Source organism: Homo sapiens, chromosome 14, assembly GCF_000001405.40.
Source record: "Homo sapiens chromosome 14, GRCh38.p14 Primary Assembly".
NCBI lineage: Eukaryota > Metazoa > Chordata > Mammalia > Primates > Hominidae > Homo > Homo sapiens.
Window position 1 is genome coordinate 72,938,197 of NC_000014.9, and position 25,857 is coordinate 72,964,053.

At 49.5% G+C, this 25,857-nt stretch overlaps 1 protein-coding gene, 1 non-coding gene and 2 pseudogenes across 22 annotated transcripts in view, besides 2 other annotated features; 3 read left to right on the forward strand and 1 right to left on the reverse strand.

Moving 5' to 3' along the window:
- The window catches only part of DCAF4 (DDB1 and CUL4 associated factor 4), a 35,635-nt gene extending 11,733 nt beyond the window's left edge, over window positions 1-23,902 (forward strand). For 4 of the 21 annotated variants that reach the window (NM_001352449.2, XM_017021205.2, XM_017021206.2 and 1 more), the window contains 12 exons: window positions 1,606-1,706; window positions 2,024-2,181; window positions 3,549-3,628; window positions 4,798-4,900; window positions 7,688-7,831; window positions 8,946-8,995; window positions 13,602-13,681; window positions 15,965-16,066; window positions 16,190-16,287; window positions 17,327-17,500; window positions 18,190-18,304; window positions 20,416-21,507. In NM_001352449.2, the coding sequence (NP_001339378.1) occupies window positions 1,606-1,706; window positions 2,024-2,181; window positions 3,549-3,628; window positions 4,798-4,900; window positions 7,688-7,831; window positions 8,946-8,995; window positions 13,602-13,681; window positions 15,965-16,066; window positions 16,190-16,287; window positions 17,327-17,500; window positions 18,190-18,304; window positions 20,416-20,609 (1,399 nt within the window). In that variant the 3' untranslated portion in view covers window positions 20,610-21,507. Of the gene's footprint in view, window positions 1-1,605; window positions 1,707-2,023; window positions 2,182-3,548; window positions 3,629-4,797; window positions 4,901-7,687; window positions 7,832-8,945; window positions 8,996-13,601; window positions 13,682-15,964; window positions 16,067-16,189; window positions 16,288-17,326; window positions 17,501-18,189; window positions 18,305-20,415; window positions 21,508-22,401 lie in introns of those variants that run through there. The other 17 variants (NM_001163509.2, XM_017021213.3, XM_047431259.1 and 14 more) reach the window with 11 other exon arrangements.
- Window positions 1,227-1,728: an enhancer, noted in NCBI's record as "H3K4me1 hESC enhancer chr14:73406131-73406632 (GRCh37/hg19 assembly coordinates)". NCBI's record gives its function as "activates a minimal SCP1, AML or CMV promoter by ChIP-STARR-seq in naive H9 embryonic stem cells {active_cell/tissue: H9 hESC(naive)}" and the evidence as "EXISTENCE:reporter gene assay evidence [ECO:0000049][PMID:30033119]".
- Window positions 1,729-2,228: an enhancer, noted in NCBI's record as "H3K4me1 hESC enhancer chr14:73406633-73407132 (GRCh37/hg19 assembly coordinates)". NCBI's record gives its function as "activates a minimal SCP1, AML or CMV promoter by ChIP-STARR-seq in naive H9 embryonic stem cells {active_cell/tissue: H9 hESC(naive)}" and the evidence as "EXISTENCE:reporter gene assay evidence [ECO:0000049][PMID:30033119]".
- LOC100420966 (sperm microtubule associated protein 1 pseudogene) lies at window positions 22,398-23,901 on the forward strand (annotated as a pseudogene).
- On the forward strand, window positions 24,775-24,846 carry TRC-GCA8-1 (tRNA-Cys (anticodon GCA) 8-1). Its single transcript has one exon. It is a non-coding gene; the product is annotated as a tRNA-Cys (tRNA).
- Window positions 25,551-25,857, reverse strand: RPS12P1 (ribosomal protein S12 pseudogene 1; annotated as a pseudogene).

Sequence of the window (25,857 nt, forward strand, 5' to 3'; positions counted from 1 at the left end):
TAGGTCTGAGGGGTCTTGAGGAGAGCCTGCCTTCCTAACGTGCTCCCAGGGCATGTCGCTTTGGTGGGTCAGCCCACCTCACTGAGTAGTGAGGAGAGAGGACCACTCTCTGTTCTTTCCTAAGTGACCACGACCTCTGGCCAGAGCATTCGCCATAAAGCTAGAGGTAGACGTTATCTGAAACAACTGGAAAACCGTTTCTCCATTTTGTAGACTTTTTATGCAAATACCTTTGTGGAAACCAAATTTTATTAATTCAGCCTAAGTCTCGGACAAGGATATACACTCATGCTTCGCTTAACAAGGAGGAATGCATTCTGAGGAATATGTTGTTAGGCAGTCGTGTCATGCAAACATCATAGCACATACGTAACACAAACCTACATGGTACAGCCAGCCACACACACCTAAGCTATATGGTGTAGCCAATTGCTCCGAGGCTGCAAACCTGTACAGCATGTGACTACTGAATGCTAGAGGCAGTCAGTACACAGTGGTATTTGTGTATCTCAACATAGAAAAGATACAGTAAAAATAGGGTATATAAGATTTTTTTTTAAATGGTATACCTATGTATGACACTCCTGTGAACAGAGCTTGCGGGACTGGAAGTCAGTGAGTGAGTGATGAGTGAACACAAAGGCTTAGGACATTACTGTATGCTAGTGTAGACTTTAAAACCCTGTACACCAGGCTACATTACATTTATTTATTTATTTAAGAGATGAGGTCTCACTCTGTTGCTCAGGCTGGTCTCAAACTCCTGAGCTCAAGTGATCCTTCTGCCTCAGCCTCCCAAAGTGCTGGGATTACAGACTTGAACCACCACCCAGGCCAAGGCTACATTAAATGTATTTTTAAAATAAAGTTGGCTGGGCCGGGTGTGGTGGCTGACGCCTGTAATCCCAGCACTTTGGGAGACCAAGGCAGCCGGATCACTTGAGGTCAGGAGTTTGAGACCAGTCTGGCCAACACGGCGAAACTCCGTCTCTACTAAAAATATAAAAATTATCTGGGTGTGGTGGCACACACCTTTACTACATCCTTCAGCCTATAATTCCCTCAGAAGCTACTTGTGGATTTACAAATCAAGTGTTTTAGCCGCAGCTCTATCCCAGTGTTACTGAACTAATCACCTCTGTCCCCCAAACCCCAGTTTCTCTGTCTGTAAGATTGTGTAGTCAAGTAAAATTTAAACTCTTTGTGCTACTGAATCCAATAAAGAATGAAATTCACCTAGCCTTGTAACTGCTGTTGTGCTGACAAATGAGCCCAGCTGGTAAAATTCTTATTGGCAGAGATTTCTATTTTTCCTTTTAATCTGGAAAATTCCACAAGACCTCACAAAATGCGCGAGTGAGAAGATAAGAAGAGGGAATCACTGTGACATCTGTCCTCTTTTAAAGAAAGAAAAAAGAATGAAAAACCAAAACCTTGCCCTATTTTGTTGTATTTGCAAGAGGGGATCAGTGCTTCTCAAGTAATCAGAAAGGTCAGAGATCAGAGGTGAAGGCTGCAGAACTGCCCGAATGGACTCCCTGCCCCCGTCAGAATGGCTGGAACTCAAGTCCTGGGCTGCAAGTTAACACAGCTGTGTGTCAACAGGTCTGACTCCCGGGCAGCACAGCCCGCTCACGATTCCGGCCACGGTGATGACGAGTCTCCGTCAACCTCGTCTGGCACAGCTGGGACCTCCTCTGTGCCAGGTAAGGCCACTTGCGGGGTGGGAATCCTGGCCCTTGCACACAGGGAAGGCTGAGACCCGTTCCTGGCTTGGAAGGAATTCCAGGAGCAAATTGAAACACTCAGGGAAGGAGCTGGGTGCGTCAGGAATGGTGGTCATGAGGCAAACCGCCTCCCCCAGGACTGAGCACAGTCCAGGATGTTGCCTGACAAGGCAGCTCATCCCCGCCCTCAGAAAAGACAGGCAGCCACGAGGTGGGGGGACAGGCCACTGGGCGCCCAACTCAGGTGGTCAGTTCACAGTGGTTGAAATTGGTGCATTTAATTTTTTTGTCTAAAGAGCTACCTGGGTTTTACTTTGACCCTGAAAAGAAACGCTACTTCCGCTTGCTCCCTGGACATAACAACTGCAACCCCCTGACGAAAGAGAGCATCCGGCAGAAGGAGATGGAGAGCAAGAGACTGCGGCTGCTCCAGGAAGAAGACAGACGGAAAAAGGTGGGCTCCTCACCCCTTCGCCCCCTGTCCTCTCCGCTCCTGCCAGCACCTGTCCATCCACTGTTGAAAAGGGTGCCAATTAGATGCCCCTGCGACACTTAGCAGAGGCACTTCAGGGGGTGTGGCCCTAGCTTTTCCCTGACAGGAAGAAGACAAGAATAAGAACAGCCAAGAGCCCCCTTCTTCCATCCCCGTTTTCTTGTTCGATAAGTTGTTTTTTTTTTTTTTTTTGAGGCGGAATCTCACTCTGTTGCCCAGGCTGGAGTACAGTGGCATGATCTCAGCTCAGTGCAACCTCCACCTCCCAGATTCAAGCAATTCTCCTGCCTCAGCCTCCTGAGTAGCTGGGACTACAGGCACGTGCCACCATGCCCAGCTAATTTTTTTATTTTTAGTAGAGACAGGGTTTCACCATGTTGGCCAGGTTGGTCTTGAACTCCTGACTTCAAGTGATCTGCCTGCCTCAGCCTCCCAAAGTGCTGGGATTACAGGCGTGAGCCACCACACCCAGCCTTCTTCAGCAGTTCTAACATTTTGTCATTCCTGAAGGAATCTTGGGAGGCAGTGTGATATAATTTTAGTAACTGTTTTTTGGGGTTTTTTTGAGACAGGGTCCCACTCTGTTGCCCAGGCTGGAGTGCAGTGGCGCCATCTCGGCTCACTGCAACCTCTGCCTCCCAGGTTCAAGTGATCCTCCTGCCTCAGCCTCCCAAGTAGCTGGGATTACAGGAACCTGCCACCATGCCCAGCTAATTTTTGTATTTTTTTTATAGAGATGGAGTTTCACCATGTTGGCCAGGCTGGTCTCGAACTCCTGGCCTCAAGTAATCCGCCCACCTTGGCCTCCCAAAGTGTGGGATTAGAGGTGTGAGCCACCATGCCCATCCCAGCTGTCTATTTTAAATAGAAGACCAGGATGCATGGTTTGGAATACAGGCCATCTTGTCTGTTTGCAATACAGACCAACAGGTCTAGACGCTAACATATTTTGTTGTCAAGGTAGGCAATGGAATGTAAAGTTCCAGCCCTGGGTCACCACGGGTGGAATGGAGAGTGGTGCAGACCTGTTTGCAGTCCCATTGCTGCACTCACGCACCTGGTGGCTTCGTCCCCCCGGGTGTATGTGGATGGGGAGCGTGGGCAGAGTTGACGAGCAGACTTTCCCACTCACACTTTCTTCTGCTGGGCCTTTCCTCTTGCCGAGGAAGGGAGACTTGGAAAGGACACCGTCAGATTTTTATGCATATAATTTCTGCCAATTTAGTGCCTGTTTCCTTCATTACATCCTATGGAACTAAAAACATTCTCCATCATCCCCTAACAAATAAATCTTCATTGAATTGTTCTCTTTTTTGTAATAAATATAGATTGCCAGGATGGGATTTAATGCATCTTCCATGCTACGAAAAAGCCAGCTGGGTTTTCTCAACGTCACCAATTACTGCCAGTAAGACAATGCCTCTTTGTTATGTTTTCTTCATGAATGTTCTTTTCCTGTTTCTTATTTTCATGGTATAAGAATCCAGTCTGGATAGACCATGTGGCTACCCCGTGAAGCACCTGCACAGTTGAGGGGCTCCAGTTCACACCCTGCCTTCTGCTGCTTAAACCCACCCTGAGAAAGCTGTTCTCTCTAGAGCGAAGGCGGGGGACTCTTGCAGGAGGATAGGGAGAGAGGATGGGGACGTAGGCAGAGATGTCTATTCTCTGTTACTCGTAAGTCATTCTAGTAGAAGCTCCTACAACTTCATTCCCATGACATTTCTGCATCCTTCTTTCCCTTCTAATGAGTTGTCACCAACAATGGGGCATTAAGTGGATGTGTGTGTACTAAACCTTATCAAAGTACTTATGATGGCTGATACAATTCTAACTAAAACCCTGTGAAATAGGCCGATACTTTCCCCCATTTCCTGAAGAAGAGACTGAGGCTCAGAGTGGAGTGATTTGCTCAAGGTAAAGCTAGAAGTGGGGAACTGTCTGACTCCAACACCTGAGCGCCCAGCGCTGCGTCTCCTGCCCCCACTGTACATGCTCAAGTGAAGAACCTGCATTTGAGGCAGCTTCCTGGGGCACAGCCCTCGGACCTTGGAGCAGGGCCCCTTCAGGGAAGGCCAGAAACACCGTAGGTATCAGGCAGGGCAGGCCCCTCCTGTTTTCCTCCTTCTGAGACAGAAAGTTAAAAATCTAGTTAGATCTGTTCCTCACCCTGCGAAACAAGAGGCGGCCGTATCCTGGGGCTCTTCCCGGCAGCCGTATCCTGGGGCTCTTCCCAGCAGCGGAGTGCCCTCCAGACCATTGTTTCATCTCCCGCACTTTCGTCATCTCAGGGGAAGGAGCTGTACTGAATGATGCAGACACAACTCCCTCTAACTCCCACTCTTTGACTCTGCAAATGGGCCACCCACTTCTTCATTTTCATCTTCCTGAGCGTTCTGTGGGGAAACTCAAATTCGGATAATCTGGGATCTTGCTCAGCTCCATTGCTGAGAAGTACTGTGGAGCAGGCTGACGAGGAGAGATGGGCGTCAGCGGGGCAGGGAAGGCCAGAGACCCCCGAATCTTCTTCATGGATGTCAGCTTCAGCATCCATGCCCCCACCCTCTGTTTCTGCAGTTTAGCCCACGAGCTGCGTCTCAGCTGCATGGAGAGGAAAAAGGTCCAGATTCGAAGCATGGATCCCTCCGCCTTGGCAAGCGACCGATTTAACCTCATACTGGTGAGTGGGAGGGGGACACCTGCCTAGGGTGTGGCTGCCACCCTCTGGACACTTTGTGGCTTAGCGTTGCCAGTCATCAAACCTGGCTCTGGAGAAGCCAACTGCAATGAAAGTAGGTGGCATCTTCTTGGTTGTACGATTTTAACCTGCCTGCTGGCTACCCGCTGGGAGACGCTGAGCTGGCAGGCAGGCTGTGGGGCGACCATCATCACCCCCCACTTCAGCTCCGTCGTTTAACGTCAGAGTCTGGACCCAGCCACACCTTGACTACTGAACTTTACACAATAACTTCTCCTTGGCTGTGTTGTATATGCAATTAAAAAGGCTCACAGTGGACCTGGGGACATCTGCTTCTTCCTGAACTGGGGCAGGACTTGGTGGCTAAACCTGCAGCCCAGTGTGCCTTTGGTCACTAGAGGGTAGGACTCCTTGCTTGCCGCCCCTGGCTTCAGTGGCACCTCCCATCAACACACCTCCATTACATCATTTGCAGGGGGTGAAAGGCCTTCTCTGGTTTGGGTTGGACCCAAGCTGGAAGCCAAGGTCAGCCGCTTAAACCCAGGGGCCAGGGAAAGGTTGGCAGAGAGCTAGAAGGACCACTGCAAACAAAGGTCCCTGACCTTTCGATGGACCACGTAAGAGCAGGGCCTGCCCGGCAAGCCCTATCCTTCCTGGAGGCTGAGGGAAAGCCAGGGAGAGTGAGAGGAGGATACAGAGGCAGGAGCATCTGGACTCGGTCATCTGCTGGTGGGACTGGAGGCCGATGCTAGAGATTGACCCTGGAGGTTGATACTGCATCCTCCTGCCCCAGGAGACCGCCACAGCAGGGCCCTTCCATGTAAGGGGTGTTGGGGACCGGGCCCACATTCTCCCATGTGGCTTTTCTCTCCATGTGTGCTTGGGGGTATGGTTTGACTGAATGAGTAGAATCGTCTCTTGTGGTTGGTTCCCCTCAGCAGCCCCTTCCCTGGGGTAAAGTGGGTGGGGACGGTGGGGGTCATTGGTGTGTGGGGTCTGGTGATGCACAGGCCACTGTTCACAAGCCTGGACATCTCGACCCTCATGCTTCCTCTCTCCTGACCCAGGCTTTACGTGTGGTAGGTCGTCTCCATCACCCAAAGTTACCGTGACTCTGGCTGGCCGGTGTGACCGCAGGGCCAGAAAGTGGCTTGGCACCTGGAGAGCAGTTTTTCAGATCTGAGTCTAGTCTCAATGATTCTTCTGGGAACATAACTTCTTCCTGAGTAAACTTACAACGTTGGTACAGTTTCACCAAAACCAACGTCCAAACTCGTGTGTGGGTCTGTATTTATTAATATATACAAAACACATAAATATGTGGAGTTTTTGCTTTGAAATAGCAATTAACCACATCATGTTTTAAAATGAGAAAAGAAAAGCTTAAAATAGCCCACATCTGGCACAGTGGTTCATGCCTGTAATCCCAGCATTTTGGGAGGCCTCAGCAGGTGGTTCACTTGAGCCCAAAAGTTTGAGACCAGCCTAGGCAACGTGGGTAAACCCCGTCTCTACAAAAAAATATAAATTAGCTGGGCATGGTGGTGTGTGCATATAGTCCCAGCTACTCGGGAGGCTATGGTGGGAGTATCACTTGATCCTGGGAAATCAAAGATGCAGTGAGCCATGATTGTGCCACCACACTCCAGCCTGGGCAACCAATCAAGACTCTGTCTCAAGAGAAAAAAATAGGGCCAGGTGTGGTGGCTCACACCTGTAATCCCAGCACTTTGGGAGGCTGAGATGGGAGGATCACTTGAGGTCAGGAGTTCGAGACCAGCCTGACCAACATTGTGAAACCACATCTCTACTAAAAATACAAAAATCAGCTGGGTGTGGTGGTGCGCACCTGTAGTCCCAGCTACTCAGGAGGCTGAGGTGGGAGAATAGCTTGAACCTGGGAGTCGGAGATTTCAGCAAGCTGAGGTGGTGCCACTGTACTTCAGCCTGGGCGACAGAGTAAGACTCCCTCTCAAAAAAATTAGCCCACATCCTGAGCGAGGCATGGTGCCTCACACCTGTAATCCCAGCACTTTGGGTGGCTGAGGCAGAAGGATCACTTGAGGCCAGAAGTTCAAGACCAGCCTGGACAACATAGCGAGACCGTATCTCTACAAAAAAATATAAAAGTAGCCAGGCACAGTGGTTCATGCCTGTAGTCCTAGCTGCTCAGGAGGCTGAGGAGAGAAGATCACTTGAGCCCAGGAGTTCAGGGTTATCATAAGCCATGATCATGCTACTGCACTCCAGCCTGGGTGACAACAGTGAGACCCCACCTCTTAAAAAAAAATAGCCTACATTTGAATGCAGTCTTTTTCTATTGCACGTTTTATTCAATGCAATTTTTTTTTCATGGTGGTAAAAAAAAAAAAAAATAGTGCCTATGTAATAGGAACTAGCATTTTTCCTATTGCGCCACAGCCTTCGTGATGGCACATGACACATTCCTCTGGGTGGATGCTAGGGCTCTCCCAAACCCACTTCTGAGTGAGGTCCTCATGCAGACCTCAGACTTTCTGGCCATGTCCCCTCACTGCCATTCTCATCCTTCCTCTTGAATTGTTAGATCAGACACGTGCTGGCTTTGCCCAGACATGGCTGCACTAAGTTGGGGAAAGTGAGGTCATCTCCACTCTCGCTCATGGAGAGGAACTCTCACCTAGTGAAAATGCACAGAGCATGGGGGCCAGGAGAGACGGGCAGGTCCCTCTTAGGCAGTCCACCAGGCGCAGCCTGGGACGTCACCCACTGCCCCCTTCCCTTCTCCAGGCAGATACCAACAGTGACCGGCTCTTCACAGTGAACGATGTTAAAGTTGGAGGCTCCAAGTATGGTATCATCAACCTGCAAAGTCTGAAGACCCCTACGCTCAAGGTGTTCATGCACGAAAACCTCTACTTCACCAACCGGAAGGTACGTTGCCCATCCCTGTAGCCTCTCTGCACACTTGACCCTGGGGGTAGTTGGCCAAATTCAGGGTAGAGGAGAGCAACTGGGGAAGAGGGCAGAGCATACTTACCTCATTTTTCCATAAGACTTGATTTTTTACTTGAGCCTAGGAGTTTCAGACCAACCTGGGCAGCATAACATGCATGGTGAAACCTTGTCTCTACAAAAAAAAAAAAAAAAAATTATTTGAGTGTGGTGGCGCGCACCTGTAGTCCCAGCTGCTTGGGGGCTCGGGGGGAGGTGAGGTGGGAAGATCACCTGAGCCCAGGAGATCAAGGCTGCAGTGAGCCATGATCGTGCCACTGCACTCCAACCTGGGTAACAGAGCGAGACCCTGTCTCAAAAAAATGGATTTATGGTTGCTGAGAACCCATAGGGAAAGAAAAGGACTCCAGGAGTTTCTTGTCTTGGAAAAGAAAGTGAAATGAGATGGTTGGGGTAGGTTGAAGCAGCGCTTGTTTAACTGGTCCTCAGGACCGTCCCTCCAGGGGTCCAGGAGTTGATCTGGAAGGGCCCACACCAGGGCACAGAGTTCCTTGGAAATGGGCGACAGTGACTGTGGCCTGCATGGGAGGGGTCCTGCCCTGTGTGTCAGAGTGATGCGTCATCCAGCCAGGCCGCAGCCAGCACTGAGGCTTAAACAAATAAGAGGAGCTTGCTGTCTAGGGAGCAACCTTTAAGTTGCAGTGGGGTGATGGCGGCATCCGTGAGAAGCTGTGACTTGCTATTCAGTTGAAGCATAAGCTGCAAGATGGATACAGGTTGAAAATGGCTTCTGGGTGAAGTGAGATACACCTTCAGAGTTCGGCTTATCTCCTGCCATTGTAGAAAATTCAGCCCTGCCCAGAGGGTATGCCAGATAGACCAGATGTCTCCCTGTGGGTCTGTTGAAGGACTCAGGCTTGAGGTTACTTCCTGTCCTGCTTAAGCCCCACCCTCAGAATGCTTGTTCCAGCCCATTTGAAGAGGAGCAGGACGTGAAGAGAGAAGTCACACGTCTGTGTCCCCACATGTTATTCCACAGGAAAGCATATTACTGTAGAATAACTTTCCATCTCGCTGTGTGCTTCCTCACCAGGTGAATTCGGTGTGCTGGGCCTCGCTGAATCACTTGGATTCCCACATTCTGTATCCTTTGGCAGAGGAAGAGGTTTGGTGGGCAGGCCACACCCTGACGTTGGACCTGGGTATCTGTGGGCTTCATGACATGGCATCTTAGTGACCAGAGGACTAGACCCTTGTGCACTTACATCTCACGCTTTAGAAAAAAAAGCAGCGTACCTGGATAGAACACAAGGATGCCCGTGGAGCACAGAGAAGCAGCTGAGGTCCCATCATGGCTGTTTCTCAAGGTGACATTGATGTCACTGTGTGGCAGACACTGTCTGGGCCTTCACATGCATGTGGTGGAGACAGAATGGGAACTCAGGCAGTCTGACTCCAAGGCCGGCTCACTCTGCCACTGTGGCGTGTGACGGGAGGCTCTGGGTTCACTACACAGACCCAGTATTCCTGCCGGAGGGCTGGTGTGGTAGCAGAGGAACAAGGCAGAAAGGAGCAGCACAGCCTTGGGGAGGAAGCCCAGCTCCTCCTGAGGCCAGGGAGGAAAACAGTGGTCAGGAGAGCAGGGTCCTCCTAGGGGAAGCTGAGGGCAAGGTCAGAGAGGGGGTTCCTTTGGCAGTGGACATGGGTCTGTGGGCTCTGGGCCTCAGGTCCCTGCTGGCAACAGCTTTTTAGAGCACTCATCACACTAGTCTCTGCCTTCCCGGAGAGCAAGCAGAGCCACTTTGCTGAGAGCACGGTAGTACAGTGTCGTGGTCCCTGGCCTCTGGGACCCTTGGGGGCTGTTGATATGGCACAAGACTTGACTCACCCAAAACCACATGTTAATGACTCTTGTCCTTGGTTCATTCTCTTATTAAATGTGTTCTGGAAACAATGTGACTACTCATTGTACCTCACACCTACTTCCTGAGTTGTGGTGAGATTAACATTAGTTAACTCCTGTGAAGGCACCTAGCAGTTTCTGGACATCATTGGTCCTCGACAAATGATAACTGAATCAGGATCTTTTTTGTAAATTTTATTTGTTTCACAGCACTGTATTTCAAAGGAGTTTTTTTGGATTTTAATTTTTTTCAGAGAAAGGGGTCTTGCCCTGTCACCCAGGCTGGAGTGCAGTGGTACAATCATAGCTCACTCCAGCCTAGAACTCCTGGGCTCAAGTGATCCTCCTGCCTTAGCCTCCCAAGTCACTGGGACTGTAGGTATGCACCACCACACCCAGCTTACATTTCAAAGGGTCATAGAGCCTAAATACATTAGCGACCTGATTATAAATTTATATAAGGCATCAAACTATGTGTGTTCTCTAAATTGCAAATTTTATGTGGCTTTCATTTGATGGGGTTCTGTAGGCCAATGGGACTGACCACATGTTACTATGATGATCTAACCAGAGGGCTAAAGAGGCCAAGCTCTGCAGAAAGCAAAAACAAGAACCTCACTCACATTTCCAGTCTTAAAACAGCATGGTATTCTCGTTTCTGTGGGCTAAGGAGAGGAAAAAAAAATCCATGTAATTGGACTTAAAGGGATGGATGGTCTGTTGTAGCTTCATCAGTGGCTCGCCCTCTGGTGGCCATTTCTGGTAGCCTTCGGGCTTTTGTGCTGAAGATTTTTTGTGCTGCTTCAGAAGTTCAGGTAACTTTTTCCCTTTAGAAAAATGGTACTTTGTTCAGACCTGCACTCTGCATTTTTCCTGCAAGAGTGGTGGGAAGTTAGATGGAATTCTTTCTACACTTATTGGGCCCTTAGTTAACCTGTGGCCTGTCAAAGGATTAAATCTTAGCCTGGCTCCGTAAGTACTCAAAGTTTGAGTATAAATAAGCTGAGATTCAGCAACAGTAACTAACATGCACATCCCACTTTCTTCACTTCCTTGCCTTCCAAACCCAGAAGCAAAATAAGTTTATTTGGTGGTGGTGTTCTCATTTACAGTTTCAGCACCTGGTATATCCTGGAGATACTTAATTTGGAGCTTACTACCCAGAGCGGTATGTCACATACACATCACATACTCAGATAGTCAAGAATGTCACCTGGCCAGGCATGGTGGCTCCCACCGGTAATCTCAGCATTTTGGGAGGCCAAAGTTGGGGGATTGCTTGAGGCCAGGAGTTTGAGACCAGCCTGGGCAATACAGAAAGACCTCTCTACAAAAAAAATAATAATAAAATTCTATTAGCTGAGCATCATGGTGCATGCCTTTAGTTCCAGGTACTCAGGAAGCTGAGGCAGGAGGATCATTTGAGCCCCAGAGTTCAAAGCTGCAGTGAGCTGTGATCACACTACTGCACTCCAGCCTGGGTGAAAGAGAGAGACCCTGTCTCTTAAAAAAGAGAAAAGTGACTGGGCACAGTGGCTCATTCCCATAATCCCAGCACTTTGGGAGGCTGAGGCAGGCGGATCACTTGAGGTCAGGAGTTCAAGACCAGCCTGGCCAACATGGTGAAACCCCATCTCTACTAAAAATACAAAAATTAGCCAGGTGTGGTGGCACGCACCCGTAATCCCAGCTATTCGGGAAGTTGAGGCAGGTGAATTGCTTGAAAACCCGGGAGACAGAGGTTGCAGTGAGCCAAGATTGCGCCACTGCACTCCAGCCTGAGCGAAAGAGCAAGACTCCATCTCAAAAAATGTATATAAAAATAAAATGTTTAAGAAGATTTTTAAAAGTTACATGATTGCTTTTCAGATATTTACATTTTCCAGTGAGGAATATGTGTGGTCATTCAGACAACACCTATCGAGTATATGCAGTTGCAAGGAGATAGAGACAGGCAGCTCCACAAGTCCTCAGTGTAGGAGGAAAGCTGCATGCAGGAGGGATTGCAGCCACCTTCCTGGAGGGAGACCCATGAGGGCAGGAAGAGGCCAGGGACCCCTAATAGGAGGAGTTGGGAGAAAGCTTGGTATGTTTGGCAGCAGTTTGATATTCATGATGTCTCTGGCTAGGGAGCAGGGCCTTTCAAGACTGAATGCTCGCTCAGGGCTGTGGGAGGTCCCAGGGGGTTGTGATTGTGGAGTCATTTTTGAAAATGATTCCTTTGGTGGCATTGTTGGGGGATAGACGGACGAGAGCAAGTCCTCAGACAGAAGCTGCTGCAAGACTAAGGGCGGTGGTGAGGGCGTGAAACGAGGTATCAGGAGTGGAGGGAAGGGCACCAAGAGGCAGGTGCAGGCTCTAGCCCGGGCATCTTGTGATAGGAGAAGGCCAGGATAGACCTCCCAGAGAGTGGTGGGTTGAGGCCAAGGAGTGTGTAGTAGAAATTGGGCTACATGGCCATAGGGCAGAACTGGAATGTTTCCATCAGATTTAGAAACCAGAGGCTCATTGAAGACTGATGAGAACATTTCTCTGGGAAGGTGAGGGTCAGGCCTGGATTTCAGTGGAGGAAAGGCAAGGGAATGAGAATAAATACAGGCTCCTCTGGAACAAAGTTTGGCTATGAGGGGAAAAGGAGAGGAACCGCGTCAGTCAAAAGACACACACGTAGGCAAGGGTATAAAGGGGCAGGTCAGAGAGGGAACTCCAACGACTATGCTCATGTGAACAGAGACACCCACATGTAGTCAGGGAAATGCAAATTTAAATAACAGTGAGGTATCACCTGGTACCCATTCAGATAAGCAGAAATTTTAAGGGCTGGTAGTGAGATATTCCATGCAATGCCATTTCTGTATGTTTTTTTTTAAACAAAAGCTGCTTTGTGTTATTTATTGACAAATATATGTAGTGGAAATACAGCATGGCTTAGAAGAACTTACACCAATTTGAGAAGAGCAGTTCTCTCTGAGTAGAGGAGAAGGGAGAATTGGACTAGGGAGGGATCAGAGAGGGCTTTTTGGGCTTTTTAATAGTATTTTATTTTTGAGACATGGTCTTACTCTGTCACCCAGGCTGGAGTGCGGTCACATGATCACAGCTCACCGCAGCCTTGACTTCCAAGGCTCAAGCAATCCTCCCACCTCAGCCTCCCAAGGAGCTGGTACTACAGGCACACACCACCACGCCCAGCTAGTTTTTGTATTTTTTGTAGAGACAAGGTTTTGCTGTGTTTCCCAGGCTGGTCTCGAACTCCTGGACTCGAGTGATCCTCCTGCCTCAGCTTCCCAAAGTGCTGGGATTACATAGGCAGGAGCCACCACACCCAGCTTTTAACTATATCTGATTTGTTTTTCCCTTTAAAAAACATCTGAAGCTGGCCAGTCACGATGGCTCACCCCTATAATCCCAGCACTTTGGGAGGCCGAGGCGGGCGGATCACGTGAGGTCGGGTGTTCGAGACGAGTCTGACCAACTTGGAGAAACCCCGTCTCTACTAAAAATACAAAATTACCCGGGCGTGGTGGCACATGCCTGTAATCCCAGCTACTCAGGAAGCCGAGGCAGGAGAATCGCTTGAACCTGGGAGGCAGAGGTTGCGGTAAGCCGAGATCGCGCCATTGCACCCCAGCCTGGGCAACAAGAGCGAAACTCCGTCTCAAAAACAAACAAACAAAAAAAAAACATCTGAAGGTAAATGTGGGCAGTGTAAACGCATGTTGAATCTGGACGGTGGGGGTTACTCTGGCCTAGGTTGTGTGCCGTATGACTTTCTGAAGGGTAAATGTCCATGCCTCCTCCCAGAGGGGAGCCTTGTGCCTAACTGTCCTTAACAGCTTTTTCCAGGCTATGCCTCATGGGACTCGCAGAGACTCCAGGCTGTGCCACCCTGCTCCCAGCATCACTGTTCGTCAATAGTCACCCAGGTACAGGGTTCTCCTCCTTTAAAGAAATCTGTCCTCTGTCTCCCGAGAGCTGTGTGGGGGTGGCTTAGAGAGAAGTATGGGGCCGCTGCAGAGGCACTGTGGGAGGATTCCCTAAGCCTGTCCCAGGGTTAGTACCAGAAGCATGTGTTTTTTTTACAGCATCTGCCCCTTTTTACCCATCTTGGGCCATTTCAGTCATTTCAGCAGCCAGAGCAGACTTAACACGCATGTAAACCAGCGTGAGCTCAGAACAGATTCGGACGCCCGTGCACATCATTCAGAAAACACCTCTGAAGGTCCAAAGCACCTCAGGTGCTATCAGGGATACTTAACAGTCTGCCTACGTTAAGGCAATTTGACTCCTCCTTCCTGACAGCATTCTGGATATTACATTTCAGTCTATCAGAAAATTAGGATCAATAAGACCAGGGTGAGAGGCCTCTTAAGAGTGTGGGCTTCAGGCAGACCTGGCACGAATCCCAGCTCTGCCCCTTGCCAACTTGAATGGAATGTTGAACCTCTCTAAAGTGGACAGGGCCTTCTCAGTCCACATCCGTGGAGAATTAGGTGAGATCATGCACATTTAGCCCAGTGCCTGGTATTTCATTGCACAGCAAGCTTATGAGGCAGGAGTGTGTCTTACCACCATTTTACAGATAAGGAAACTGAGGCAGACAGTTTCAGAATTTGTCTTACAAAAGTAATTTTTAGTGTTGGAGGTCAGGCTCACAGTACCCTTTGGGGAGGTAGTAATTGGGAAAGGGATGTGAGGGAGGCCTCTGGGGTACTGGATTGTTTTATGTCTTGTCTTGTCTTTTTTTTTTTTTTTTTTTTGAGACGGAGTTTTGCTCTTATTGCCCAGGCTGGAGTGCAATGGCACGATCTCAGCTCACCACAACCTCCGCCTCCCAGGTTCAAGCAATGCTCCTGCCTCAGCCTCCCAAGTAGCTGAGATCACAGGCGCACACCACCACGCCCGGCTAATTTTTGTATTTTTAGTAGAGACGGGATTTCACCATGTTGGTTAGGCTGGTCTCGAACTCCTGACCTCGTGATCCACCTGCCTCGGCCTCCCAAAGTGCTGGGATTACAGGTGTGAGCCACAATGCCCGGCCTTTTTTTTTTTTTTTTTTTTTTTTTGAGATGGAGTTTCACTCTTGTTGCCCAGGCTGGAGTGCAATGACACGATCTCAGTTCACCGCAACCTCCGCCTCTGGGGCTCAAGCGATTCTCCTGCCTCAGCCTCCCAAGTAGCCAGGATTACAGGCATGTACCACCACACCCGGCTGATTTTTGTATTTTTAGTAGAGATGGGATTCTCCATGTTGGTCAGGCTGGTCTCGAACTCCCGACCTCAGGTGATCCACCCGCTTCGGCCTCCTAAAGTGCTGGGATTACAGGCGTGAGCCACCACGCCTGGCATGGATTGTTTTATTTCTTAACCTGGGTGGTGGGTACATGGCTATATTTAGTTTGTGATAACTCACTGAACTGTATCCTTACAATCTGTACGTTCTATCAATGCAAAAGTTTATTTTAAAAAATATTTTTTCGAAGCACAGTGGCTCATGCCTGTAATCTCAACACTTTGGGAGGCCAAGGCAGGATAATCGTTTGAGCCCAGGAGTTCAAGACCAGCCTGAGCAACATAGCAAGACTCCAATCTCTACAAAAAATAAATAATTAGCCATGTGTGGTGGCTCACACCTGTGATCCCAGCTACTTGGGAGGCTGAGATGGGAGGATTCCTTGAGCCTGGGAGGTTGAGGATGCATTGAGCCATGATCACGCCACTGCACTCCAGACTGGGCAAAAGAACAAGACCCTGTCTTAAAAAAAAAAAAAAAAAAAAAAAATATATATATATATATATATATATATATATAGTTTATTTATTTATTTATTTGTGTGTGTGTGTGTGTGTGTGTGTGTGTGTGTGTGTGTGTGTGTGTATATACACACACACTTGCCTGAGATCACATAGCTGGTAGGTGATCGAGGATCGGAGCCACCTTACCTCCAACAGTATACTACCTCCCTGATATCAGTACTATTCGTACTGTAAACACGACTACTGGGAACGTTAACAAAGATGCATTTTCGGAATAACCACTTGTGAGCCAGGCATCCCAGCTGAGTCTCTCTTGCAACCACAAAACCCAGAATGGGGCCAAAGGTATAGACCCTCTGAGCAGCTATGGGCATATTTGGATGTTTTCCGAACCCAGTGGTCCCTGGCCTGCCTAGAAGGCAGCCACACTTTACATTCTCCTATCCCCTTAGCAGGAATAGACCGGCCTGGCATGCTCTGCAGTTTCCGGATCCCTGGTGCCTGGTCCTGTGCCTGGTCCCTGAATATCCAAGCAAATAACTGCTTCAGTACAGGTGAGCCTGGCTCCCCAGGTGCCCAGAGAAGAGGCCTTAACAGGCCTTAAAACCCCATGTAGTTGTCCCTCTCCCCAGACTACATGTGACATAATCTTACCAGCCCATCTCTGTCTCCGCCAGGCTTGTCTCGGCGGGTCCTGTTGACCAACGTGGTGACGGGACACCGGCAGTCCTTTGGGACCAACAGTGATGTCTTGGCCCAGCAGTTTGCTCTCATGGTTGGTTGGATTGGGACAGGCAGAATATAAAAGTTTGCCCCATGTAGAAATTTGGCCAGATTGAAATTGGACTCCTCTGTGTGCCATCTAGTACTCTTTGACAGGGGAGAAAGAGCATCAGAAAGGATCAGTGGGTTCCTTTGTAAGGGTGTCTGAGCCGAGTGAAAGTTGGTTGATCCAGAAAGGCTGGCCTGAGTTGCTCTACACAACCTCTCATGGAAAGGTATTGTGAGCAGTTCTTGGGTACTTGGATTTACCCAGTAGGACAAACCATTTTTAAAATGTATAAGCCAAACACCAATTCTTCACAGCTCCCAGGTTATATATTTTATATGTTTAAAAAATCAGGCCAGGTACAGTGGCTAATGAATGGCTGTAATCCCAACACTTTGGGAGGCCAAGATGGGTGGATCACAAGGTCAGGAGTTCAAAACCAGCCTAGCCAAGATGGTGAAACCCCTTCTCTACTAAAAATACGAAAGTTAGCCAGGCATAGTGCTGGGCGCCTGTAATCCCAGCTGCTCGAGAGACTGAGGAGAATTGCCTGAACCCGGGAGGCGGAGGTTGCAGTGAGCCAAGATCACACCACTGCACTCCAGCCTGGGCAACAGAGCAAGACTCTGTCTCAAAAAAAAAAAAAAATTGTGGTCATTACTATATTTCACAGACTTTTCTCTAGAAAATGCCGTCTTCCCTTAAAAGTGAATGAACCCACTAACCTGCTTTTGGTGGAGATGGAATGCTATCTCTGGGACTTCAGAGAGAAAGGCCAAACGGGACAGTGCAGGGGGGTGGGGGGCAGCTCCTAGGACCTCCGTGCTACCCATGAGGAGGACACATGGGGTCTGGTTCTTCTAGCCACTAACAAGGAATCATCCTCCCTTCCAACTCCATTGAGACCCAAACCCTGACCAGCACGTGTCTAATCACACCGTCTGACCCAGAGGCTGGAAGAGGGGTTGTATCAGGAGGACCTGCCCTGCCCAGCCTCAGAGGGATGTCATGATAGCCAGGCACTGAGCAGTCCCTCTTTCCACAGGCTCCTCTGCTGTTTAATGGCTGCCGCTCTGGGGAAATCTTTGCCATTGATCTGCGTTGTGGAAATCAAGGCAAGGGATGGAAGGCCACCCGCCTGTTTCATGATTCAGCAGTGACCTCTGTGCGGATCCTCCAAGATGAGCAATACCTGATGGCTTCAGACATGGCTGGAAAGGTAGGGGATCATGGACTTTCTCAGGCCACAGGGTCTCGTGGCCCAGTGCCCTGCCAGGTGAAAGGGTTCTGCTGAAGAGGTCCTCACACCAAGACCCCAGGCAGGGGAATTTCGCTGAAGACCAAGTGATTTGTAGGCCCTGCATGGGGACTGCTTCGTTGACCATATGAGCCTAATCTGACGTAAACAAAAGTGAAAAGGATTCTCTGGTTATGTCCTTTTTTTTTTTTTTTTTTTTTTTTTTGAGATGGAGTCTTGCTCTGTCGCCCGGGCTGGAGTGCAGTGGTACTATCTTGGCTTACTGCAACCTCTGTCTCTCAGGTTCAAGCGATTCTCCTGCCTCAGCCTCCTGAGTAGCTGGGATTACAGGTACCCGCCACTGCGCCCGGCTAATTTTTGTATTTTTAGTAGAGATGGGGTTTCACCATGTTGGTCAGGCTGGTCTCGAACTCCTGACCTCATGATCTGCCCACCTTGGCCTCCCATAGTGCTGGGATTACAGGCATGAGCCACCGTGCCCGGCCTGGTTACATGCTTTTGATGAACAACAAGGCTCAAGAATTCGAGATGGAGATCTTCATGACCTGCACAGGCCACTGGAGACCACCTTGCCTTCCTGGCTTTGCACTTGGGGACCACCATGGTACCCCCTGGCCCCTCCCTGATGGCCCCTGGTGCTTTTTCCACAGATCAAGCTGTGGGACCTGAGGACCACGAAGTGCGTAAGGCAGTACGAAGGCCACGTGAATGAGTACGCCTACCTGCCCCTGCATGTGCACGAGGAAGAAGGAATCCTGGTGGCAGGTACTTGAGGAAGGAAGGGGAAGTTCCACCCCATCAAATACTGTCTCTCAGGGGCGATCCCAGCAACTTCAGCAGCAGAGGGAAAAGTTACCCCAAAACAGAACTGAATCAAGGGGAGTGTGGACAGCTGGGTGGGGAGACTAGGAGGGAAGTAGAATTAGATTATATTAGTAATCAGGAGTGTAAATAAATGTCCACCAGGTGGACAGCCTCATCCCATGTCAGTGGGCAAACGTCACTTCAGAAACAGGCAGGTGGGGAGGTCCTGGGGAGCCTGGGTTTGGAGTTTGAGTGGATTTCATCAGGCCAGCATTATTCCACCACGCAACTATCTTATCCAAAAACTTGGGCTCCCTGTTGTCTCTACTCACATTTCCACCAGAGGATGCTGAGAAAAGAAGTTATGGTCATTGTAAAGATTCTTGGCCCCGGCCCGGCGCGGTGGCTCACGCCCGTAATCCCAACACTTTGGGAGGCCAAGGAGGGTGGATCACGAGGTCAGGAGATTGAGACCATCCTGGCCAACATGGTGAAACCCCATCTCTACTAAAATACAAAAATTAACTGGGCATGGTGGCACCTGCCTGTAATCTCTCAGCTACTCGGAAGTCAGAAGCAGGAGAATTGCTTGGACCAGGAAGTCGGAGGTTGCAGTGAGCCGATATCACGCCACTGCACTCCAGCCTGGCAACAGAGCGAGACTCCGTCTCAAAATAAATAAATAAATAAAAAAGATTTGTGGCCCCTTTACTACCATCCCTGTGGCTCCATGATCTGCAGATTAGGAGCAGCTATCTGGCCACTAAGCCCCCTGGAAGGGAGTTACCAGTTGATTACAGATGATGGTGGCTATAGCGTAATCAGACAGTGTGCAGGCTCAATGCTTTCACACTGAAATAGTAGCTGCTGACACTGCAGAATGTGTTCTCAGTCTTCAAGAATTGTCACCTCTACTGGTATTCCTATAGAAAGGGCTTATACCCCATGGAACATTTTTGTGGCTAGGAAGCATTACTTTGTTAGGACATTCATAGACTTATTTACTATTCTCATCAACACCAGGACTTCGCCTCCTTTTTAAGTCGATTTTTCACCTGTTTTTATCACAGAAGAGCTCTTGTGAGCTGGATGATAGAGAGAGCTCAGCCTTGCTGAGAGGCAGATGCAGGTAGTTACCAGCTGCAGTAATAAACTGCAGCCGGGATTCAGCTTCAGCCAAGATAGCACTTCTGGTCTTAGAGCCACACAAGTGATCAGAATCACAAATGTGAAATCCATGACTGCCCAAGGCCTGTCCTCTTCTCCTGCTGAAGGTCTCCAGTAGTGTATATCATGTTTCTGGGCTGCTGTAACCCATGCTGTTGTGTGTCACAGTCCTCAGAACTGGAGCCCTGAAGACTTAAACCGGTCCTAGGAACTGAAGCATTAAACCAGAAAGAGCTGTGGGGAGAGTTGTCAACCTAGCCCATCCCCAGGATGTAATGACTTTGACAGATCTTTTACTATAACATGAAAAGATCAGGCCAGGTGTGGTAGCTATAATTCCAGCACTTAGGGAGCTTGAGGCCAGGAGTTTAAGACCAGCTGGGGCAACACAGCAAGACCCTATCTCAAAAAAAAAAAAAATTAGGCATGGCGGCACACACTTGTAGTCCCAGTTAACTCAGGAGGCTGAGGCAGAAGGATGGCTTGGGCCCAGGAGTTCAAGGCTGCAGTGAGCCCTGATCACACCACTGCACTCCAGCCCGGGCGACAGAGCAAGACCCTGTCCCTAAAAAATGGGGGAAATCAGTTGCATGTCACCTAGACCAGGTGGGCCACACTCGCACTTGAACGTTCCGTGACATCAAGAGCAGCAGAATACCCAGACATTAGCCAGGATGTCTCCGAGCCATTCATGGCATCACACAGCCAACCAGGGCATCTTGTCATTGTTCTAGCACAACAGGGCGACTTGGGTTATCCGTAGAAATACTGTCCGTTAATGAGTTTGTGTTTTGGCTCACATGAAATCACAGCCCTGAGGAATCTTGGGAAGCCATGTCCACATGTAGGTAAGTTTTCCTTTGCATTCTCTCACTAGCCTGCCATGTGTCTCTCCTCTTTCCTAGTGGGCCAGGACTGCTACACGAGAATCTGGAGCCTCCACGATGCCCGCCTACTGAGAACCATACCCTCCCCGTACCCTGCCTCCAAGGCCGACATTCCCAGTGTGGCCTTCTCGTCGCGGCTGGGGGGCTCCCGGGGCGCGCCGGGGCTGCTCATGGCTGTCGGGCAGGACCTTTACTGTTACTCCTACAGCTAATTCTGCAGGGCACAGCCCAGAGCCATGTGGATTTGACTTACGGGAGTAAAGCGTAACTTTTTACTGCATCTAATGAGGGTGTTTTAAGTGACACTCAGTGTACACAGATCCCATCCTCTGGCTGCTAGGAGAGAAGTGCTGAATGTTCCGTGTGGAGATGCTCAGGAAAGTTATTTGAGTTAAATTGCTGGCTGAGAGAGCTTGGAAGTCCTTTTCATAAAAGGTACCTCTTTCCTTTTCTTATTGAATTCTTAGAACTTAGTTAACCCTCCCTGCCTTTTCTTAACAAAAAGGACTTTTCTAAGGACTGAAGATTGGCAAAAACGAAAAGCTTCTTCCTCCAAGAGCCCATTGAAGAAGCCCAGTGATGAGACGGTGAGATGGTTTGAGTCCTCGGTGCCTGGGTAGCAGGAAGAAAGACCTGCATCCTGCATCTGTACTTGGGGAAGCCAGCGGAGAGGACGGGGAGGTTACTTCTCTAAGTTTCTGCAGAAATATTGAAGGCTGGAGTTTGGAATCCTTAAACTTGGCCTTCTCAAACTCAGCAGCAGATCTCCGGGATTCTGCTGTTATTATCCAAAGGCGTTGGAAGGAAAGATGGATCTTCTTACATGCTAGAAGTTTTAAACGGTCCTTAACATGCCTTTGTTCAAGCACCTTCCAGAATGTAAGGTTCAGCAGCTCTGGTTTCTATTACGGTGACTTGAATGTCAGATTCAAGGGCCCGGCGTCAAAGGAAATTGGTTTTGACTTTTTGTAATCTAGGAGCGACAGTTCGTGAGATGTTTATTCAGTGTTAAAGAGCCTGTTTTTCTACCAAACAATAAAACCAAGAGAAGAATCATGGTGTGACATGCACTTCTGTGAATGACTTAGGAGATCATGAGCTTGGGCTGCTGGGACCAGCTTTCATAGCCTTCCTGGAGAGCTTCCCTGGGCCCCTCCAGACCCACTCTGCCCTCATCATCTGTCCATCTCCACCCTGCTCTGTGCATGCCCAAAAGACTCACCTCTGGACTAGGTCAGGGTTCCCTGGCTCCCAGCAGCTAGGTAGGTTCAGCCAGTGGGAAGCAGCAGTAGAACACAGAGGGCAAGAGGAGAGGGAGTGGTTCCCCGGCTCCCTTCTGGTTGGGCTGTGGGTGGCTGTAACCAAAACCCACCACTTCTATTGGAAAGCGCTCAGAGAGAGCCGGGTTCCAGCAACTCTTCATTTGTCCCTTCAGACCTACAGCTGGTCATCACACCTCACTGTTGCTGGCCCAGAATGCCTCACTAGGTAGACTCGCAGTTACCCACTTGAATGTTTCCTGCCAGTACCCTGACTAATACAGCATATTCTATAAAGAACCAAATTTTTTTTTTTTTTTTGAGATGGTGTTTTATACTTGTTGCCCAGGCTGGAGTGCAATGGCGCTCTCACCGCACCCTCCACCTCCTGGGTTCTAGTGATTCTCCTGCCTCAGCCTCCCGAGTAGGTTGGATTATAGGCGCGTGCCACCACGCCTGGCTAATTTTGTATTTTTAGTAGAGATGGGGGTTTCTACATGTTGGTCAGGCTGGCCTCAAACTCCTGACCTCAGGTGATCTGCCCGCCTCAGCCTCCCAAAGTGCTGGGATTATAGGCCTGAGCCACCGCACCTGGCCCGATTCTTAAATATATTTAATCCGTCCGCCCCAGTTATCTAAGGCTCTGACCTCTTCCTTCTCCCACCAGCAAACCCCAGGGCAGTTTGCACTGTGCCCCCTCAGCATTGTGGCTGACAGTCTTCTGTATTCTCTTTCCCACATTCAGGATCATGGTGGCACAGGAAGGGATGGCTGGATAGTAGAATGCATCCTCCACATCTTCAGGAAAGGACAGAGATACCTCAACAGGAGAAGTTGGGCAGAGACAGGCAAGTGCTGCCTCCATTTCCAGCCTCATGATGGTTCCTGGGCCATAGCAAAGCCTGGTTGAGGGGAAGAGGCCCAGGGACTGCATCTTTCCAGCTTTTCTTCACATACACAAGCAGATGGTGGCACAGTACTCCCTGATACTAGCTAATAAGCACCTACTGTATGTCAGGCCCCCCCCACCTTTTTTTTTTTTTGAGACATGGTCTCACTCTGTCGCCCAAGCTGGAGTGCATGAGTTGCAGTAGCACAATTACTACTCACTGCAGTCTTGACCTCCTTGGGCTTGAGCAATCCTCCCACCTCAGTCTTCTGAGCAGTTGGGCCCACAGGTGTGCACCACCACACTCAGTTAATTTTTTATTTTTTGTAGAGATGGCGTCTCCCTATGTTTCCCAGGCTGGTCTTGAACTCCTAGGCTCAAGTGATCCTCTGGCCTCAGCCTCCCAAAGTGCTGGCATTACAGACACGAGCCATTTGTAAGACACTTCTCACCCTCACACTAACCCCACGGCACAGTTTGGGAAACAAGTTTGTTGAGTTAAAGTGGTTTGGCAAGAAGGGCTGAGCTGGGATTAAGATTCCGCTCTTCCCAACTCTGAAGCCCCTGTTCCCCTCACTGCTGTGTCCTGCTCATTTTCCAGGCCCAGGTTAACAACAATGGGAAAGAGTTGAGAGATACTTTTCTAACAGGGTAAACCCTCCTCCCAGCCCAACTCCACCATCCTGGGCCACTCCTCTACTCACATGATCCTTTGTACCATTTGGTCCAATTGATCTTGATCTCATCCATTTTTTCCACATGGGTCAGAGACAAGGGTGAGATTTTTCTCATTTCTCGTGGGAGAAAGGCAAGCTCTGCCAAGCCCAGAATTTCTGGCCCCTCCTGTCCCAGCACAAACCATTCACAGTCTTCCCGCAATTATTCCTGGTGCAGGGTTTTATTTCTAGGAAGCCTTCTGTCCCTCAACCTCACCAGCCCTTGGCTTTTCAGCCCAGAGGCTCAGGACATTTGAGGATTGCGTGTTTGGCTGTGGGCATGGGGAATGCAGTGACTACACCTGGTTGGCATCCCATACCACACCCAGGGGAATGGGGAAGCCAAGAGGTGGACTGGAAGCAGGCTCAGGCCTCTCTCTCCTTGCCCCCAAGGGCATCCTCTCCAGCAGATGGCCACTACAATGCTGATGTCAAACTGGTCAGTGGGTTCAGTGGAAGGTTTGGCTACCGCGGGAACACCCCAGCTCTCCGTCGGAGCACGTCTGTCTTTGGAGAGGTCACCCACTTCCCTCTGTTCTAACAGCATCTCTTCCCTTCATAGCCCTCAACCTGAATTTCTAAGACAGATGTTTAGGTGAACTCTCAATGTTATTTTACATTAAAAAAATTTGTGTCTCCAAGTGTGCCGTTTCTTCCCTGAGACTGGAGGAAGGAGCCAGCTGTACTCTCAGCTTCTCTTACCCTGGAGAGGAGGTGAGACGAGAAGGGCTTCTCAGGCCTATGCCCTTGCACTCGGAGAGGCTTCACTTCTACCCTGCCAGTGGGATAAGAAGGAGCCACACTATTCATCCTCAATAAAACACTTCCCCAGCTATCAGCAGGACCCCAGGATCAGAGCTGGCTACTGTTTCCATCAAGAACAGAGCAAAGGCCAAGCTCCGTGGTTTATGCGTGTAATCCCAGCACTTTGGGAGGCCGAAGTGATGCCGAGACAGGAGGATTGCTTGAGCTTAGGCAGTTGGATCACTTGAAACCAGCCTGGGCAACATGCCAAAACCCTGTCTTTACAAAACACACACACACACACACACACGCATGCACACTCTCTCTCTTAGCCCAGGCTGGAGTACAGTGGTGTGATCTCAGCTCACTGCAACCTCCGCCTCTCAGGGTTCAAGCAATTCTCCTGCCTCAGCCTCCCTAGTAGCTGGGATTACAGGCGCCTGCCACCACGCCCAGCTAATTTTTTTTGTATTTTTAGCAAAGACGGGATTTCGCCATGTTGGTCAGGCTGGTCTCAAACTCCTGACCTCACCTTGGCCTCCCAAAGTGCTGGGATTACAGGCGTGAGCCACTGCGCCCAACCCAGGATGTCATTTTTCAAGTGTTCCCTTTCAGTTTATTGGTGGCCAAGGGAAAAGCCAAAGCAGATGATGGATAATTAAGAAGGTGGGGCTTTAGGACACAAAGCTTGCCAGAACTCTAGTGTGGGTGGAACTTGATTGTATTGAGTCACCATAAGTGGACAAGGAAGGAGTTCCTGATAGGTGAAGGGGGTATAGCTCAGGGGTAGAGCATTTGACTGCAGATCAAGAGGTCCCCGGTTCAAATCCGGGTGCCCCCTTCCCGGATGTTTTCTCATTTAAAAGTAAATACTGTCAGCCACAGCGTCACCAGAAAAGATAGAGGGATTTTCAGCTTGCTCTTGTGCTAAAATTGCTCCTCCCACATTCCAGCTGACCATTAGGACAGAAAGCCCCCCTTTAGGACCTCCGCTGCCTTCCATTAAGACCAAGTACCTGAGGAGATTCTAAATCTATGAGTAAGTCTGAGAGCTGTGAACACAATTTGGCCATCGGGTGTGTGTCAGAGTATATATAAAAATGTTCCTTCAACATATACTTTTGAAAAGCTCCCTTGAATTAAAACATGAAAGAAGGGCCAGGCACAGTGGCTCACGCCAATAATCCCAGCACTTTGGAAACCAAGGTGGGCGGATCACTTGAGTTCAGGAGTTCAAGACCAGCTTGAGCCACATGGAGAAACCCTGTCTCTACTAAAAATACAAAAATTAGCCAGGTGTGGTGGTGCGTGCCTGTAATCCCAGCTACTTGGGAGGCTGAGGCAGGAGAATTGCTTGAACCCAGGAGGTGGAGGCTGCAGTGAGCCCAGATCATGCCACTGCACTCCAGCCAGGGTGACAGGAGAGACTGTCTCAAAAAACAAACAAAAAAAAAACCTCTTTGATGACATCCTTTGCCATGGTCTTTAATGCTACGCAACCACAACTAACCACCTTATGGGGTTTTCCCTTTGTCAGTTTTACAGTGGCTCACCCTTTCCCCTAGTTTCTTGTCATCAACTGTAATTAGGGTGATCCGGTGTTCAGCACCAAGGGTCTTCAGCCACATAGGCAGGCTCATCACAGCTGGGGGCAGCACACAAGGATGTGCCCAGCGCTTGTCTAGGACTTTGGCAGCTCCTCAAATTCCATGTGCTAGGCCATCATGGATGAGGGCAGCCTTTGGGACCTTTATAAAGCAGTATTAAGGTCCATGACACCTCCAGCAGTGATGCCTTCCTGGGCCATGGTGGTGGGTTAGGGGGGAAGCTGATTCTTGAACACACCTGAGCC